At 37.2% G+C, this 20,897-nt stretch overlaps 1 protein-coding gene across 1 annotated transcript in view; it reads right to left on the reverse strand.

Moving 5' to 3' along the window:
• Positions 1-15,758, reverse strand: part of CLIC2 (chloride intracellular channel 2) — a 58,404-nt gene extending 42,646 nt beyond the window's left edge. The window contains exon 1 of the mRNA NM_001289.6: positions 15,515-15,758. Coding sequence (NP_001280.3) covers positions 15,515-15,571 — 57 coding nt within the window. The 5' untranslated portion in view covers positions 15,572-15,758. The remainder of the gene's footprint in view (positions 1-15,514) is intronic.

A 20,897-nucleotide genomic window follows, 5' to 3' on the forward strand; every position in this document is an offset into this window, starting at 1 on the left:
ATGGACACATAGACCAATGGAACTGAATACAGAACCCAGAAATATAGCCAAATACTTATAGCCAACTGATCTTCAACAAAGCAAACAAAAACATAAAGTGGGGAAAGGACACCCTATTCAACAAATAATGTCGGGATAATTGGCAAGCCACATGTAGAAGAATGAAACTGGATCCTCATCTCTCACCTTATACAGAAATAATTCAAGATGAATCAAAGACTTAAATCTAAGACCTGAAACCATAAAAATTCTAGAAGAAAACATTGGAAAATCTCTTCTAGACATTGGTTTAGGCAAAGACTTCATGACCAAGAACCCAAAAGCAAATGCAATACAAACAAAGCTAAATAGATGGGAATTAATTAAATGAAAAAGCTTCTGTATAGCAAAAGAAATAACTGGGGGCTGGCAAGATGGCCAAATAAGAACAGCTTTGGTCTGCAGCTCCCAGCGAGATCAACACAGAAGGCAGGTGATTTCTGCATTTCCAACTGAGGTACCCAGCTCATCTCATTGGGACTGGTTAGACAGTGGGTGTAGCCCAAGGAGGGTGAGCCAAAGCAGGGTGGGGCGTCACCTCACTCAGGAAGCACAAGGGGTCGGGGAACTCCCTCCCCTAACCAAGGGAAGCCTTGAAGGACTGTGCCGTGAGGAATGGTGCACTCTGGCCCAGATACTATGCTTTTCCCACAGTCTTCGCAACCAGCAGACCAGGAGATTCCCTCCAGTGCCTACTCCACCAGGGCCCTGGGTTTCAAGCACAAAACTGGGCGGCCATTTGGGCAGACACCAAGCTAGCTGCAGGAGTTTTTTTTTTCATACCCCAGTGGTGCCTAGAACACCAGTGAGACAGAACCATTCACTCCCCTGGAAAGGGGGCTGAAGCTAGGGAGCCAAGTGGTCTAGCTCAGTGGATCCCATCCCATGGAGCCCAGCAAGCTAAGATCCACTGGCTTGAAATTCTCACTGCCAGCACAGCAGTCTGAAGTCGACCTGGGATGCTTCAGATTGGTAGGGGAAGGGGTGTCCACCATTACTGAGGCTTGAGTAAGCTCTTTTCCCCTCACAGTGTAAACAAAGCCACCAGAAAGCTGGAAATGGGCAGAGCCCACTGCAGCTCGGCAAAGCCGCTGTAGCCAGACTGCCTCTCTAGATTCCTCCCTCTGGGCAGGGCATCTCTGAAAGAAAGGCAGCAGCCCCAGTCAGGGCTTATAGATAAAACTCCCATCTCCCTGCGACAGAACACCAGGGGGAAGGGGTGGCTGTGGGTGCAGCTTCAGCAGACTTAGACGTTCCTGCCTACTGGTGCTAAAGAGAGCAGTGGATCTCCCAGCATGGTGCTCAAGCTCTGCTAAGGGACAGACTGCCTCCTCAAGTGGGTCCCTGACCCCCGTGCCTCCTGACTGGGAGACTCCTCCCTGCAGGGGTCGACAGACCCCTCATACAAGAGAGCTCCAGCTGGCATCTGGCAGGTGCCCCTCTGGGACAAAGCTTCCAGAGGAAGGAACAGAAGGCAATCTTTGCTGTTCTGCAGCCTCTGCTGGTGATACCCAGGCAAATAGGTCGGGAGTGGACCTCCAGCCAACTCCAGCAGACCTGCAGCAGAGGGTCCTGACTGTTAGAAGCAAAACTAAGATACAGAAAGGAATAGCATCAACATCAACAAAAAGGATGTCCACACAGAAGGTCACCATCCGAAGGTCACCAACATAAAAGACCAAAAGTAGACAAATCCACAAATATGAGGAAAAACCAGTGCAAAACGTCTGAAAATTCCAAAAACCAGAATGCCTCTTCTCCTCCAAAGTATCACAACTCCTCGCTAGCAAGGGAACAAAACTGGATGGAGAACGAGTTTGACAAACTGACAGAAGTAGGCTTCAGAAAGTGGGTAATAACAAACTCGTCCAAGATAAAGGAGCATGTTCTAACCCAATGCAAAGAAGCTAAGAACCTTGAAAAAAGGTTAGGCAAATTGCTAACTAGAAAAACCAGTATAGAGAAGAACATAAGTGACCTAATGGAGCAGAAAAACACAGCACAAGAACTTCGTGAAGCATACACAAGTATCAATAGCCAAATCAATCAAGTGGAAGAAAGGATATCAGAGGTTGAAGATCAACTTAATGAAATAAACCATGAAGACAAGATTAGAGAAAAAAGAATGAAAAGAAACAAACAAAGCCTCCAAGAAATATAGGACTATGTGAAAAGACCAAACCTACGTTTGACTGGTGTACCTGAAAGTGACAGGGAGAATGGAACCAAGTTGGAAAACACTCTTCAGGATATTATCCAGGAGAACTTCCCCAACCTAGCAAGGCAGGCCAACATTCAAATTCTGGAAATACAGAGAACACCACAAAGATACTCCTCGAGAAGAGCAACCCCAAGACACATAATCATCAGATTCACCAAGGTTGAAATGAAGGAAAAAATGTTAAGGGCAGCCAGAGAGAAAGGTCGGGTTACCCACAAAGGGAAGCCCATCAGACTAATAGCAGATCTCTCTGCAGAAAGCCTACAAGCCAGAAGAGAGTGGGGGCCAATATTCAACATTCTTTAAAAACAGAATTTTCAACCAAGAATTTCATATCCAGACAAGCAAAGCTTCATAAGCGAAGGAAAAATAAAATCCTTTACAGACAAGCAAATGCTGAGAGATTTTGTCACCACCAGGCCTGCCTTTCAAGAGCTCCAGAAAGAAGCACTAAACATGGAAAGAAAAAACCGGTACCAGCAACTGCAAAAACATACCAAATTGTAAAGACCATCGACACTGTGAAGAAACTGCAACAACTAATGAGCAAAATAACTAGCATCATAATGACAGGATCAAATTCACACATAACAATATTAACCTTGAATATAAATGGGCTAAATGTTCCAATTAAAACACACAGACCGGCAAATTGGATAAAGAGTCAAGACCCATCAGTGTGCTGTATTCAGGAGACCCATCTCATGTGCAAAGACACACATAGGCTCAAAATAAAGGGATGGAGGAATATTTACCAAGCAAATGGAAAGAAAAAAAAAGCAGGGGTTGCAATCCTAGTTCCTGATAAAGCAAAATTTAAACCAACAAAGATCAAAAAAGACAAAGAAGGGTATTACATAATGGTCAAGGAATCAATGCAACAAGAAGAGCTAACTATCCTAAATATATATGCACCCAATACAGGAGCAACCAGATTCATAAAGCAAGTTCTTAGAGACCTACAAAGAGACTTAGACTCCCACACAATAATAGTGGGAGACTTTAACACCCCACTGTCAACATTAGATCAACGAGACAGAAAATTAACAAGGATATTCAGGACTTGAACTCAGCTCCGGACCAAGCAGACCGAATAGACATCTACAGAACTCTCCACCCCAAATCAACAGAATATACATTCCTCTCAGCACCACATCACACTTATTCTAAAATTGACCACATAATTGGAAGTAAAACACTCCTCAGCAAATGCAAAAGAATGGAAATCATGACAAACAGTCTCTCAGACCACAGTGCAATCAAATTAGAACTCAGGATTAAGAAACTCACTCAAAACCGCACAACTACATGGAAACTGAACAACTGCTCCTGAATGACTACTGGGTAAACAACGACATTAAGGCAGAAATAAAGTTCTTTGAAACTAATGAGAACAAAGACACAATGTACCGGAATCTCTGGGACATAACTAAAGCAGTGTTTAGAGGGAAATTTATAGCACTAAAATCCCACATCAGAAAGCGGGAAAGATTTAAAATCAACAGCCTAACATCACAATTAAAAGAACTAGAGAAGCAAGAGCAAACAAATTCAAAAGCTAGCAGAAGACAAGAAGCAACTAAGATCAGAGCACAAGTGAAGGAGATAGAGACACGAAAAATCCTTCAAAAAAATCAATAAATCCAGGAGCTGGTTCTTTGAAAAGATGAACAAAATAGATTGACTGCTAGCCAGACTAATAAAGAAGAAAACTGAGAGGAATCAAATAGACACAATAAAAAATGATAAAGGGGATATCACCACTCATCCCACAGAAATACAAACTACCATCAGATAATACTGCAAACACCTCTACACAAATAAACTAGAAAAACTAAAAGAAATGCATAAATTCCTGGACACAGGAAGAAGTCAATCCCTGAATAGAACAATAACAAGTTCTGAAATTGAGGCAGCAATTAACAGTTTACCAACCAAAAAAGCACAGGATCAGACGGATTCACAGCCAAATTCTACCAGAGGTACAAAGAGGAGCTGGTACCATTCCTTCTGAAACTATTCCAAACAATAGAAAAAGAGGGACTCCTCCCTAACTCATTTTATGATGCCAATTTCATCCTGACACCAGAACCTGTCAGAGACACACACACAAAAAGAAAATTTCACGCCAATATCCCTGATAAACATTGTTGTGAAAATCCTCAATAAAATACTGGCAAACTGAATCCAGCAGCACATCAAAAAGCTTATTCACCATGATCAAGTTGGCTTCATCCCTGGGATACAAGGCTGGTTCAACATATGCAAATCAATAAACATTATACAGCATGTAAAGAGAACCAATGACAAAAACCACATTATTGTCTCAATAGATGCATAAAAAGCCTTCGATAAAATTCAATATACCTTCATGCTAAAAACTCTCAATCAACTAGTTATTGATGGAATGTATCTGAAAATAATAAGAGCTATCCATGAAAAACCCATAGCCAATATCATACTGAATGGGCAAAAGCTGGAAATATTCCCTTTGAAAACTGGCACAAGACAAGGATGCCCTCTCTCACCACTCCTATTCAACATAGCATTGGAAGTTCTGGCCAGGGCAATCAGGCAAGAGAAAGAAATAAAGCATATACAAATAGGAAGAGAGGAAGTCAAATTGTATCTGTTTGCAGATGACATGATTGCATATTTAGAAAACCCCATTGTCTCAGCCCAAAAACTCCTTAAGCTGATAAGCAACTTCAGCAAAGTCTCAGGACACAAAATCAATGTGCAAAAATCACAAGCATTCCTATACAACCAAAATAGAGAGCCAAATCATGAGTGAACTCCCATTCACAATTGCTACAAAGAGAATAAAATACCTAGAAATACAACTTACAAGGGATGTGAAGGACCTCTTTGAGGAGAACTACAAACCACTGCTCAAGGAAATAAGAGAGGACACAACAAATGGAAAAACATTCCATGCTCATGGATAGGAATAATCAATATCATGAAAATGGCCATGCTGCCCAAAGTAATTTATAGATTCAATGCTATTCCCATCAAGCTACAATTGCCTTTCTTCACAGAATTGGAATATGTAACAAACCTGCACGTTGTGCACATGTACCCTAAAACTTAAAGTATAATAATAATTTTTAAAAACCTACTTTAAATTTCATATGGAACCAATAAAGAGCCTGTATAGCCAAAACAATCCAAAGCAAAAACAAAAAACAAAAACAAACAAACAAAAAACCAAAGCTGGAGACATCATGCTACCTGACTTCAAACTATACTACAAGGCTACAGTAACCAAAACAGCATGGTACTAGTACCAAAACACATATATAGACCAATGGAACACAACAGAGACCTCAGATATAACACCACACATCTACAACCATCTGATCTTTGACAAACCTGACAAAAACAAGAAATGGGGAAAGATTCCCTATTTAATAAATGGTGCTGGGAAAACTGGCTAGCCATATGCAGAAAACGGAATCTGGACCCCTTCCTTACACCTTATACAAAAATTAACTCAAGATGGATTAAAAACTTAAACATAAGACCTAAAACCATAAAAACCCTAGAAAAAAACCTAGGCAATACCATTCAGGACATAGGCATGGGCAAAGACTTCATGACTAAAACAACAAAAGCAATGGCAACAAAAGCCAAAATTGACAAATGGGATCTAATTAAACTAAAGAGCTTCTGCATGGCAAAAGAAACTGTCATCAGAGTGATCAGGCAACCTACAGAATGGAGAAAATTTTTGCAATCTATCCATCTGACAAGGGGCTAATATCCAGAATCTACAAGGAACTTAAATAAATTTACAAGAAAAAACCAAACAACCCCATCAAAAAGTGGGTGAAGGATATGAGCGTCTCAAAAGAAGACATTTATGTGGCCAACAATCATATGAATAAAAGCTAATCATCACTGATCATTAGAGAAATGCAAATCAAAACCGCAATGAGATACCATCTCACATCAGTTAAAATGGCAATCATTAAAAAGTCAGGAAACAACAGATGCTGGAGAGGATGTGGAGAAATAGGAACACTTTTACACTGTTAGTAGGAATGTCAATTAGTTCAATCATTGTGGAAGACAGTGTGAAAATTCCTCAAGGATCTAGAATCAGAAATACCATTTGACCCAGCAATCCCATTACTGGGTATATACCCAAAGGATTATAAATCATTCTACCATAAAGGCACATGCACACATATGTTTACTGCAGCACTATTTACAAGAGCAAAGACTTGGAATCAACCCAAAGGGCCATCAATGATAGAATGGACAAAGAAAATGTGGCACAGATACACCATGGAATATTATGCAGCCATAAAAGAGAATGAGTTCATGTCCTTTGCAGAGACATGGATAAAGATGGAACCCATCATTCTCAGCAAACTAACACAGGAACAGAAAAGCAAACACCACATGTTCTCACTCATAAGTGGGAGCTGAACAATGAGAACACATGGAACACTGGAGCCAGTTGCGGAGTGGGGGGAAATGAGAGGGAGAGCATTACCTAATGCATGTGGAGCCCAAAACCTAGATGACGGGTTGATGGGTGCAGCAAACCACCATGGCACATGTATACCTATGTAACAAACCTGCACGTTCTGCACATGCATCCAAGAACTGAAAGTATAATAAAAAAGAAAATGTGATATATATATATATATATATATATATATATATATATATATATATATGCACACATACACACACCATGGAATACTACTCAGCCATAAAAAGGCACTAAATAATGGCATTTGCAGCAACCTGGAAGGAATTGGAGACTATTATTCTAAGTGAAGTAACTCAGGAATGGAAAGCCAAACATGGTATGTTCTCACTTATAATTGGGAGCTAAGCTATGAGGACGCAAAGGCATAAGAATGATACAATGGACTTTGAAGACTCAGAGAAAGGGGTGGGGGAGTGAAGATAAAAGACTACACATTGGGTACAGTGTACACTGCTTGGGTGACGGATGCACCAATATCTCTGAAATCACTACTATATATCTTATTCATGTAACCAAACTTCACCTGTTCCCCAAAAACCCATTGAAAAATAAATAATTCTTTTTAAAAAGAAACAAAATCATTGTGTTGTATACATTGAATATATACAATCTTTATTTGCCAACTAAATACTCTAAAATAAAAAAGGAAAAAAGAAAATGAGCAAAGGACATGGACAGACATTGCACTGAAGAGGACATGCAGATGACAAATAAGCAGACAAAATGTTCAATTTTATTAGCCTTTTGGGAAATGCAAATTTAAACAATAAAATGTCACTACACAGCTTTCAAAATAGTTAAGATAATAATAGTGACAACACAAAATGCTGGTAAGAATGCACAGAAATATTGCTGGTTTTAATGTAAAATAGTATGACCACACTGGAAAGCACTTTGGCAATTTCTTCCAAATCTAAACATGCAGCTGCTACGCGACCAAACAACTAGACCCTTTGGCATTTATCTCAGAGAAATGAAAACTTATGTCCATAAAGAAACCTGTAAAAGAGGATTTATACAGCCTTGTTTGTAATAACCCAAAACTAGTGACAACCAAAATGTCCTTCAACAGCTGAATAATTAAACAAACTGTGGCATATCAGTATCATGGAGTAGTACTCAGCAATAAAAAGGATCAAACTGTTGATACACACAACAACTTGGATGAAGTTCCAGGGAATTGTGCTGAGTGGGGAAAAAAAAGACAATCCCAAAAGGTGATATACTGTTTTATTCCATTTACGTAACATTCTTGACATGATAAAATTATCAAAGCAGAAAAGAGATTAATGGTTGAGGGACTGGATGAGACACAAGTGGATGTGGCTTTAAAAGGGCAACACGGATCTGTGTAGTGATGAAAATCTTCTGTATCTGACTGCATCAATGTCAATAATGTCCTGGTTTTCTTATCATACTATAGTTTTACAAGATGTTATCATTAAGGGAAACTTGGTAAAGGGCACACAGCATCTCTCTGTATTATTTCTTAAAACTGCATGTGAATCTTCAACTATCTCAACATAACAACGCCTTAATTTTAAAAAATTTTAGTCATAAGAAACCAAGACACACATACATACAGATAATATATTTAATGTTATAGAAATAAATTCATAATATATTGTGAAATAAAAATAGTTTGCAAAACAATGTATTAAAAGTAATGGCAAAAAGCGCAATTAATTTTGTACCAACTTAATATATGAAATAACCTCTTTTTGATGAATGTATTTATCTATATATGTGAGGAAATAAAGCATAAGAGGCTATACACATAAATGTTAAAGTGGGTGGTATCATGGATGATTTTTATTGATTTTATTTTCACTTAGTGATATTTTGTAATTTATGTAACTAAAATAAAATAAAGTCACTTTTTTAAAAAAGAATGAGATCATGTCCTTTATAGGAACATGAACAGAGCTAGAAGCCATTATCCCTAGCAAATTAATGCAGCAACAGAAAACCAAATACCACACATTCTCACTTACAAGTGGCAGCTAAAAGATGAGAATACATGGACTCAGAAAAAAAAATAGCTAATGGGTACTAGGCTTAATACCTGGGTGATGAAATAATTTGTACAACAAACACCCATGACACAAGTTTACCTAAATAACAAATCTGCACATGTACCCCTGTACTTAAAAGTGAAAACAAAAACAAAACAAAAGATCATTTATCATGACCAAGTGCAATTTATTCCAGTGATGCAAGAATGGTTCAACATACACACATCAATTAATGAGATACATCATATCAACAGAATGAAGAACAAAAACCTCATGATCATTTTAATTGTTGCTGAAAAAGCATTTGATAATATTAAACATCCCTTTATGACAAAAAACCCTCAAAAACATGGGTATAGAGGGAACATACCTCAACAGAATAAAAGCCATATATGACAAACCCATAGCTAGTATTATACTGAATGGACAAAAACTGAAATCCTGTCCTCTAAGATTGGGAACATAACAAGGATGCCCACTTTCACCACAGTTATTCAACATAGTACTGGAAGTCCTAGCCAGAGCAATCAGACAAGATAAAGAAATAAAAAGGCTTCCAAATTGGAAAGGAGGAAGTCAAATTACCTTGTTTGCAGATGATATGATCTTATATTTGGAAAAACCTAAACACTCCAATGAAAACTCTTAAAGTTGATAAATTCAGTAAAGTTGCAGGTTACAAAATCAACGTACAAAAATCAGTGACATTTCTATATGCCAACAGTGAACAATGTGAAAAAAAATCAAGAAAGTAATTCCATTTGCAATAGCTACAAATGAAATAAAGTACATAGTAATTAACAAAAATACTAAAAGATTTCTACCTGAAAACTATAAAACATTGATACAAGAAATTGAAAAAGACATACAAAAATGGAAAGATATTCTATATTTATGAATTGGAAGAATAAATATAGTTAAAATGTCCATAGTACCCAAAGCAATCTATAGATTTAATGCAATCCCTATCAAAATGACAAAGACATATATTCACAGAAATTTTTAAAAATCCTAATATTTATATGGAACCAGGAAAGACCCAGAATAGCCAAAGCTATCTCCTAAGCAATACCTGACTTCAAATTATACTACAGAGCTATAGTAACCAAAATGGCATGGTCCTGGCATAAAAAAAGACACATAGATCAGTGGAAAAGAATAGAGAACCTGGAGATAAGTCTATACATTTACAATGAACTCATTTTCAGGAAAGGTGCCAAGATCATACACTGGGGAAAGGTGCTGGGAAAACTGGATATCCATATGCAAAAGAATGAAACTAGACCCCTATCTCTCACCATATACAAAAAATCAAATACAAATGGATTAAAGGCTTAAATCTAAGACCTGAAACTATGAAACTACTAAAAGAAAACATTAGGGAAACTCTCCAAGACATTGGAGTGGGCAGAGATTTCTTGAATAATATGCCATAAATACAGGCAAGCAAAGCAAAAATGGACGAATGGGATCACATCAAGTTAACAAGCTTCTGCACAGCAAAGGAATCAACAATGTGCAAAGACGACCCACAGAATGGGAGAAAGTATTTGCAAACCACCTATCTGACAAGGGATTAATAACCAGAATATATAAGGAGCTCAAATAACTCTATAGGAAAAAATCTAATACTGTGTTTGACAAATGGGCAAAAGATGTGAATAGACATTCCTCAAAAGAAGATATACAAATGGTGAAGAGCCATATGAAAAGGTGCTCAATGTCATTGATCATCAGAGAAATTCAAATCAAAACTACAATGAGATATCATCTCAGCTCAGTTATTAGGTTGGTGCAAAAGTAAATGCGGTTTTGCCATTACTTTCAATTGCAAAAACCGCAATTACTTTTGCACCAACCTAATAAAATGGCTTTTATCCAAAAGACAGGAAATAACAAACGCTGGCGAGGATATAGAGAAAAGGGAATCCTCAAACACTGTTGATGGGAATGTAAACATTAGTACAACCACTATGGAGAACAGTTTGGAGGTTCCTCAAAAAAATGAAAATAGAGCTACCTTATGGTCCAGCAATCCCACTGCTAGGTATCTACCCCAAAGAAAGGAAATCAGCATATCACAGAGATCTCTGCACTCCCACATTCATTGCAGTACTATTCACAATAGCCAAGATTTGGAAGCAACCTAAATATCCCATCAACAGATGAATGGATACAGAAAATGTGGGCATATACACAGCAGAGTACTATTCAACCATAAAAAAGAATGAGATTCAGTCATTTGCAACAACATGGATGGAACTGGACGTCATATATTACATAAAATAAGCCAGGCACAGAAAGACAAACTTCACGTGTTCTCACTTATTTGTGAGAGCTAAGAACAAAAACATTTGAACTCATAGAGAGAGTAAAGGATGGCTACTAGAGGCTGGGAAGGGTAGTGAGTCTGTGTGTGTGGGGAGGTGAAGAGTGTTAATGGGTACAAAAAATAGCTAGGAAGGATGAATAACACCTAGTATTTGCTAGCACAATAAGGTGACTGCAGTGAAAAATAATTTAATTGTACATTTAAAAATAACTAAAACAGTATAATTGAATTGTTTGTAACCCAAAAGATAAATGCTTGAGGGGATGAATATCCCATTTACCTGATGTGATTATTACATGTTGCATGCCTGTATCAAAATATTCCATGCAACCCATAAATATATATACCTACTATGTACTCACAAAAATTAAAAATTAAAGTTAAAGAACAATTAAAATGGGGAAGAGATTTGAAAACTTTACAAAGGAAGATATACAGATGATAAATAAGGACATGAAAAGATGCCCAATATCATTAGACATGTGGGAAAGGCAAATTAAAACCACAATGAGATACCATGATAAACACATTAGAATAACTGAAATGAAAAAGAATGACCATACCAAGTGTTGACAGGAAAGTGGAGCAAGTGGAACTCTCACATAATGAAGTGAAGTGTAAAATGGTACAACTGCTTTTTAAAGTATTTTGTCAAAGTTAAACATGTACCTATGAAAATAGAGAAGTTCAAAAAGAAGAACAAAAAACACCCCCAAATAAATGATATTATGCAGAGGTTGCAGACATTGCAATGACAAAGGTAAGCGTATGACTATGGGAAGAAGCACCTGAGAGATGATGAGGACTAAGATCCCTGGAGGAGGGAAAGTCAGGGATCTGAGGGGCTAGAGTGTTGGAAGAATCATCTGTGTAGATATTAAAATCACCAAGAATTATGATAGGAAAGACTAGAGAGAGTAGCCTATAGAAGGAAATAAAAGGTACTTCATCTTACGGCTGCTCTGATCTATTATGCGTAGAATTATTAAGGTCCAGAAACACTGGACAAAATTTCAATTTTTTGACAAAATTTTCTTTCCCTGATAGTGGATGTGACAAAGAAAATGATATTGTTGATCTTTATGATGGCAGGGTGTGAAGAGGAATGGGAAGAGGCAACCAACCTTACCAGCTGCATTTGTTTTGTAATAGAAGTCAGACTAAGGATCCAATCAAAACTAGGTTTAGTGAGTGGAAACATGATTAAGGGTGGGAGGCAGGAAGAAGAATGGAGTCTGATAATAGATACAGCAGGAAGGGTGGATCGCCTTTGGCAAAAGGAAAATCAAAACACTGAGGTGTGGGGGAAATGCAGTAAAGTTTTACAGGAAAACTGAAGGGTTTTTTTTTCTGTTATGTTATGCTGATTTAAAGTGCCATCACATACAATTTTAGGATATAAATTCGCTAGCCTGATTGATGAATTACTGATCTCTTAATTATCTTCAGCTGGCAAAGACAGGATGCAGCCATTCACCAAAACAATTTTTTTCTTTGTGTTTGTGATCTAAGTTTTTAAACATGAAAAATAATAATGGCAACAATAGTTAACATTTATAAAGTGTTTACTACATTGCCAACTACTGTGCTTTATACACTTGTTTTATTTAATCCTTACAAATAGGATGATGCTATGAGGTAGGCTCTGTTATTACACTTGTTTTACAGGTGAGGAAACTGAGGCTCAGAGAGGCTGACTTGCTCAAGTACAGTCGGCTAATCAAGAGTTGATGACATACATCCTCTTCTCACTCAGTAAATTCAGGACCAGGACTATATCCTCCAGACACCATACTCTTAAACACTGCCTTCTCTCATTTAATAGTTTTGTTGAATTTTTATATTAATCAGTCTTTATAAGTATTTATAATAGCTATAAGATACTTTGAAATGGTCTGAACACTCAGAGTAGAGTATCATCTCTTCCTTCTTTCCCCCACACATTAAAAAAAGTTTTTGACAAAAGTATTACATTCAGAATTTTGGCCCAAATGTTAAATTCCATAATTTTATGTACAAATATACTAAAACTTAATTTTAGAGTCTTTGGTACAGAATGCAAACATTCCATTTAACAACAAACAACAAATCATTAAGATTATTTCATCCCTACACTTAGAGAAAATAAAATGTGTGTTATGAAATCTTTGTTCTTAGTTATTGGATAGAAACCTTGCTCAAATCATTCAGAGCTAAAAGACAATGTTTTTATTGACTACACAGAACACATAGATATCGTAGTATAAATTCTTAATTGTGACAGGAGAATGCTTAATCTCTTGTAGTAATGCCTTTTAAAAATTACTCATTAGCACTTTTAGTCTTTCTCAACCCCTATTTCCCCTCCCAGTATCTTCCACGAAACTTCTAGAGATCTGTGGAACACAGCTTAAAATAAAACAAAAACCTGGACCAGATGATATTTGAGGTTCTTCCAGAAAATCTGTAATTTGTATCAATGTCATTAGATAAGCTTACATCTAAAGCACTCCACCTGATAAAATTCTGGACTAGTTTACTAAAAAGTTCACACAACTGAAAACAATTGAATAATATTAGACATAGCTATTTTAAAGGAATAGAATTCTAACTCTGCCACTAACTAGCTATGTGACCTTGGACAAAGTTACTTAGCTGCTCTTTGCTTTAATTTCTGTATTCATAAAAGAGGGTTAATAATAAACCACTTAGCACAGTGCCTACCATATAGTAAGTACTCAATAAATTATTGGTTCCTTTGAAAGTTATTATTTAATTCAACATTTTCTCATCCATGTGTGACTTGCTAAAGTTTCCTGTCCAGATTACCACCCAAATATGAAAAGTCTATGAAGATAAACACATAGGTGAAAGCCAACAATTGATTTCAGGAGTCTAATTGAGTTGAATGAACAGTTCAGACAAAGGGAACACTTTAGTTACCCAGTGAAGAGACATTACTTCTGATTTGGAATTGGTAAATGTAAAAAGCCAGTTAGGAAATTACAGCTCATTTATATCCTATCTGAGCAGTTATATGTTTTGCTACAACCCAGAGATAGAAGAAGTCGCTCTTATGCCCGATAGTTTAGCAAACACTTAATTGCATTACCTAGCACTGCAGGAATTCAAGGGTCTTTCTCTTACAATTTTGAAAAGACAGGTTGATGATGTCCTTGGTGTATATATGTGACAAGCTGTTAAATAATCTAACTGGCTGTAAAAGCATTACTTTTGCCAATAGGTATTTAACTTAACATTTGGTAAGTATATCTTATTTTATGTCTTTGTAAGCCATCAGGGAGCTGTATAGTTTTAGAGGCAAGTTACTTAAACTTTAATGCCTTAGTTTACCTATCTAGAAATGATGAGAACAACATTATAATATTGTAATAACTAAAAGTTGTAATGAAGTAGTAATAACTACTACTATCACTACTACTACTGATGATGCTAGTACTATACAAGCACCATTAATAACAACCTATCTCCTAAGTTGTTAGGACTAAATTAGGTAACATATGTAAAGTATTTAGAAAAGAGCCAGGCACAATATGAGTTTGTTATTGTTCTTATTATCCTGAATACTATCCAATAGTCAGTGAAAATAAAGGGAAAAGCTACACAGTTAATGTAAGCGAGGATTTAGTAAGCTGTTTAATTTCTACTGGGAATAACCCATATAAATTTTTCTTTCTTGATGAGCTAATTTGGAAACACATGTTCCTTTCTCTTGATTTAGGGGTTTTCCAAAGTGCTTTTCTGAAAAGTTGACATGTTAAAAAAAAAAAAAAACAACTCCATGGCAGACCAAAAAGAAGAAGCAGAGCATTCTAAAATGTCCCCCTCCTCACATAACAAGCACACAGACTCCTGTTTTTTTTCTCCCAGTGTCCATGTGACCCTGCTGTGATGTTTGTCCATTGTAGAAGTTTAGAAAGTTCTGTCTAGGCTATGTGTGGGAATGGAGTTCTCAGGTCATTCTCGGCCCTCTCCTCCACCCAGTCAGGCCTTCCAAAACCTATCTCATAAAACACAGATTTTGAGACTTGGAAAGCCCTTAAGGATCATCTTGTCATGCTCCTTCATTGTATAGATGGAGAAAAAAAAGTCTGGAGAGAAGGAGGGATTTTTCTAAGGTTATATAGGAAGCCATTAAGAATATAATTTAGTCGCTCACTACAAACCAGTCTAGTGCTTTTCCACCATATCACCTTGCCTTTTTCAGAAGAGATCTGTTTTCCTGTTGTCATCTAAGAACAGTCACACACCCGGGCATTCTTCTAGAACTCAGAGTAGGAAAATAATCACAACATTCTTTCCTATCTCTAGCCCAAATGTGGAGAATTTTTAAAGACATTGGACTTCAGTGTCAAAAACTAATATATTCTACATGCAGTTATTATAACTGGAAAACTTACCTTTACAAAAAGCTCAATCTCAGGGTCCACTTGAGTGCCGGGCCGCAGGCCTGACATCTTTGTCTTTACTGCCAGTTGTCAGCCTCCTGCCTCCTGTAGAGTCCACAATACTTGTAGACTCTTTTCTCAATTTTATCCAAAGACTCAAGTAATGTTGGTGCTTTAAGAAGACCGTCTAGCTTGTAGTGGACTGAGTCAGACCTGGAGCCAGTCTCTTCTCTCAAGAGGTGTGACGCAGAAAATTCTAGATGCTTAAGTGCAGCTCTTGAAATCGTTTTCCTTCTTCCTCGTGATCTAACATTTAAATCAAGGAGGAGCCAAAGGGGTGTGTATAAACTGCCTGGCTAGAAGGGTGGGGGTGTTTCCAGAGAGGCTTCAATGCCATGAGTCAGCACAGGAGAAACACATGCACAGAAACACACACATGCAGTGCTAGTTTCTATATATCAAGCAGACCAGATGTTTTCTAGAGCCTCCCTTTGAGACCTGGGCTCCATGCCCAGAAAAGGGCCTCTTATTGGTGTTCCTGTAACTTGAAAGCACTTCCAGGAAAAGGGCCAGAAATGACTTGGATTTTTATTATTGAAAAGGATGTTTATCCAGTGATACTGTCTAAAAGAGGGTTAAAAAATTGTACTTCATTAAATGTTTCCACCCCCAATCCTACTGCTCACACAGCCAGATTTCTGTTCTGGGTTGCAAATTTCACTTCTCTCTACAACCAGGGAATGTTCACTGGGGTGGTTGAGTCTGGGGGCTTGTTTAGTGTGCCCCACCTAGTTCTTTATTTCTTGGAAGCTTGGACTGGAACAGATCACTTCCTTGTTTTGGCGTCTGTATCAGGAACCATGATTAGTTCTGTATTTCTGCTTGTCAACCCTGGGAACAGCAGTAAAACCAGTCAAACTGAATGTCTCTGTGAGATCACTCTGTGTCTGCAATGTTTCTGACAGCTGTATCTGATGCCTCCAGGGGCTGGGAGGGGGACCCCGGGATTAACAAACCTCTTTGGTGGGAAGAGTCTCTTCCTGCTTGGAGCCAAACTGAACATAGATCCATCAGTTGGGCACCACTGTGATCCCCTTTCTATAACACCAAGCATTCCCCATGCTCATATGGGCTGTACATGCACCTGCCATTGCCCTGTGTAAAGATTTACAGGATAAGAGGCTCTTGAAAAAACCCAGCCTGCTCCATACCTGTAGGTTCTAGGGAAGGAGTGGCTGATATGTAGGTGAGTGTTCTTCTGGATGAGGGAAACACCTCATGATTCCCCAAATGGTTTGAAAAGTGAGAAGAAAATTGTGCTGGACATCTGCTGAGCCAACCTTAATGGTGAGTTTTGTACTGGCTATTTGGCAGGACCTGGTGTCTGCCTTGTTTAGCTATATTTTCACTCTATTAATCATACTCTGTTCATTCACTCCAAAGGCAATCAATGAATGTCAACTCTGTGCCAGGATGCTGATCCATTCACTGAGATTGGCAGCACAGGACAGCCAGTTCGGGAGGACAACAGGAATTCAACTTTAAGCATACTCAGTCTGAGGCCTCCTCACCTTTCCCCACTCCCTATATCTAACTGCTACAAAATCTTGTCACTTCTACATCCTGAATATTTTAAAAAATCCATCCACTTCTCTTTGCCCCATGACTACTCCAAATTTCAAGCCAGCAATATTCTTTTTTAATTGATTTAAAAATTTTTATTTTAAAAGACCAAATGGTTGCATGACCCTCGACTCTCATGGGAAAACCACAACCCACCACCACCACAGCAACAACAACAAACAGCCTAATGACCTCTGTATGATCCCTAATAAATTGCCAAAGTAAGGAGATGAAAGTTCTCTTTTTTTCTTGATGCTCACAGTGTTTAAATATTGTATTTAGGATAATTTACATGCCATAAAATTTGCATATTTAAAGTGATTTTATAAATTTATTGGGTGGTGCAACCATCACTACAATCTAATTTTAGAACATTTGCATCACGTCAGTGACATCTTTCTTACCCATTTGTAATCAATCTTCATTACCACTCCCAGTATTAGGCAACCATTAATCTACTTTCTGTACCTATGGATTTGCCTATTCTAAATATTTCATATAAATGTTGTGTTAATCCATTTTTGCTTTGCTATAAAGAAATACTTGAGGCTGAATAATTTATAAAGAAAAGAGGTTTAATTGGTTCATGATTCTGCAGGCTGTACAGAAAGCATGGTGCCAGCATCTGCTTCTGGTGAGAGCCTCAGGAAGGTAGAGTGGGAGCATGCATCTCACATGATGAAAGTGGGAGGAAGAGAGAAAGTGGTGGGGGGACATGCCACACTCTTTTAAACGACCAACTCTTGCAATGAATTCAGAGGGAGAACTCACTCATTACTATGAGAGTGGTACCAAGCCACCCATGAAGGACCTGCCCCCATGATGAAAACACCTCCCACCAGGCCCTACCAAAACTTGTTTGCTCTTTGCTTTGTTTGCTTATAATAGTCATTCCAGTGGCTGTGAAGCGGTATCTTACGGTGATATTTTTCGATTTTAAAAATGGATTTAGAGGGTACAAGTGCAGATTTCTTACATGCATATATCGCATCGTGGTGGAGTCTGGGCTTTTAGTGTACCCATCACCTGAAGAGGGAACATTGTACCCAAGAGGTAATTTTTCAACCCTTGTCAACTTCCCACCCTTTTGTAGTCTCCAATATCTATTATGCTACTCTATATGTCCATGTGTACCCATTGTTAAGCTCTCACTTACAAGTGAGAATATGTGATATTTGACTTTCTGTTTCTGAATTATTTTACTTAAGATAACGTACTCCAGTTCCACTCATGTTACTGCAAAACACACGACTTCATTATTTTTTTATGGCTGCATAGTATTCCACGTATATGTAAAATGCAGATGGGTAGATACCCAGTAGTGAGATTGCTGGATCAAATGGTATTTCATTTTTTACCATGTTTAGTTCTTTGAGAAATCTATTTTTAGTTCTTTGAGAAATCTCCATACTGTTTTCCATAAATGTGATAATTTACATTCCCACTAACAGTGCATAAGCATTACTTTTTTCTCCACATCCTCACCAACATCTGTTGTTTTTTGATTTTTAAATAATAGCTATTCTGACTGGTGTAAGATAGTATTGTTTGGTTTTAATTTGCATTTCTCTGATAATTAGTGATATTGAGCATCTTTCATATGTTTGTTGGCCACTTGTATGTCTTTCAAAAAACACCCATTCATGCCCTTTGCCTACTTTTTAATGGCGTTACTTGTTTTTTGTTTTTGTTTTTGTCGTTGTTGTTGTTGTTGAGTTGTTGGAGTTTCTTGTAGATTCTGGATATTAGCCTTTGTTAGATACATAATTTGCAAATATTTTTTCTCATTAGGTAGGTTTACTCTGTTGATTGTTTCTTTTGCTGTGTGGAAGGTTTTTAGCTTAACTGAGTCCCGTCTGTTTATTTTTGTTTGTGTTGCATTTGCTTTTGAGGACCTGGTCAAAAATTCTTTGCCTAAGCCAGGCCAATGTCCAGAAGAATTTTTCCTACATTTTCTCACAGGATTTTTACAGTTTCATGTCTAAAGTATAAATCTTTAATCCATCTCGAGTTAATTCATGTATATGGTGAGAGACAGGGGTCCAGTTTCATTCTTCCGCATATGGCTAGCCAGTTTTCCTAGCACCGTATATTGAAGAGGGTGTTCTTTCTCTATTGTTTAATTTTGTCAATATTGCAGAAGATCAGTTGTTAATAGGTACTTTATTTCTGGGTTCACTATTCTGTTCCGTTGGTCTATATGTCTATTTTTATACCAATATCATGACGTTTTGGTTACTATAGCCTTGTAGTATAATTCAAAGTCAGAATGTAATACTTCAAGCTTTGTTCTTTTTGCTTAGGATTGGTTTGGCTATTCAGACTCTTCTTTCGGTTTCATATGAATTTTAAGTTTTTTTAATTATGTGAAAAATTGTGTTGGTAATTTGATAGAGACTGCACTGAATCTGTAAATTGCTTTGAGCAGTGTGGTCATTTTTAATAATATTGGTTCTTTTGATCCATGAGCATGGGATGTGTTTTCATTTATTTGTGTCATACACAATTTTTTCATCAGTGTTTTGTAGTTCCTCTTGTAGAGATCTTTCACCTCCTTGATTAAATGTATTCCTAGGTGTTTTATTTTTTGTGGCTATTGTAAATGGGTTCTTCATTTGGTTCTTAGCTTGAATGATATTGGTGTAGAGAAATGCTACTGTGTTTTGTACATTGATTTTGTATCCTGAAACTTTACTGAAGTTCTTTATCAAGTCTAGGAGTCTTCTGGAAGAGTCTTTTGGAGTTTTATTGTACATTATTTGGGGTTTTCAACATAATGGGGTATATTTTTCTCCTTTATAATATGTATGCCTTTCATTTCTCTCTCTCTCTCCCTCTCTCTCTCTCTCTGTGTGTGTGTGTGTGTGCGCGTGTGCGTGTGTGTGTGCATGTGTTATCGCACTAGCTGGGACTTCCAGGACTAACAGTGAATAGTAGTGGTGAGAAAGGACATCCTTGACTTATTTCTGATTTTAGGGGAAAATTACTCAGTGGTTCACTGTAGGTTTTCCATGGATAGCCTTTATTAGAATAAGGAAATTTCCTTCTATTCCTAACTTGTTGGGAATTTTATCATTAATTAATATTGAATTTTGTTGAATGCCTTTTCTGCATTTATTTATATGATCATTCGATGTTGCGTATTTAGTATGACAATATGATAAAATACATTGATTGATTTTTGAATGTTGAACCAACTTTGAATACCTGGGATAAACTCCACTTGATCTTGATGCATTATCTTTTTTATACATTGCTAGAGTTGATTGGCTAATATCTTAGTAAGAATATTTGTACCTATGTTTATGTGAGATATTGCTATTTTGTTTTTTGCTCGTAATATCTCTGTCTGAGTTTGGTATTAGGATGATGCTATCCTCATAATATGAGTGGGGTCATTTTCTCTCCTTAATTTTCTGAAAGAGACTGTAAAATTTGTATTACATCTTACTTAAATGTTTGATAGAATTCATGAGTGAAATTGTCTGGCCCGGAGTTCTCTTTCTTGAAAAGTTTTAAATTACAGATTCAGTTTCTTTAATGCATGCCAGGCTATTCAGATTATCTACTTTTCTTTGAATTAGTTTGTTTTTTTTTACCATGTGGGTTTAAGAAATTGGTTCATATAAGTTATCAAATATATAGGCATAGATTGATTGTAGTATTCCCCCTCTTATTCTTTTAGTGAGAACATTCAAAATCATCTCTTCTAGCTATTTTGAACTATACAACATATTATCGTCGACTATTGTCACCCTATTGTGCAATAGAA

The sequence above is a fragment of the Homo sapiens genome, chromosome X, assembly GCF_000001405.40.
Source record: "Homo sapiens chromosome X, GRCh38.p14 Primary Assembly".
In the NCBI taxonomy this organism is placed as follows: Eukaryota; Metazoa; Chordata; class Mammalia; order Primates; family Hominidae; genus Homo; species Homo sapiens.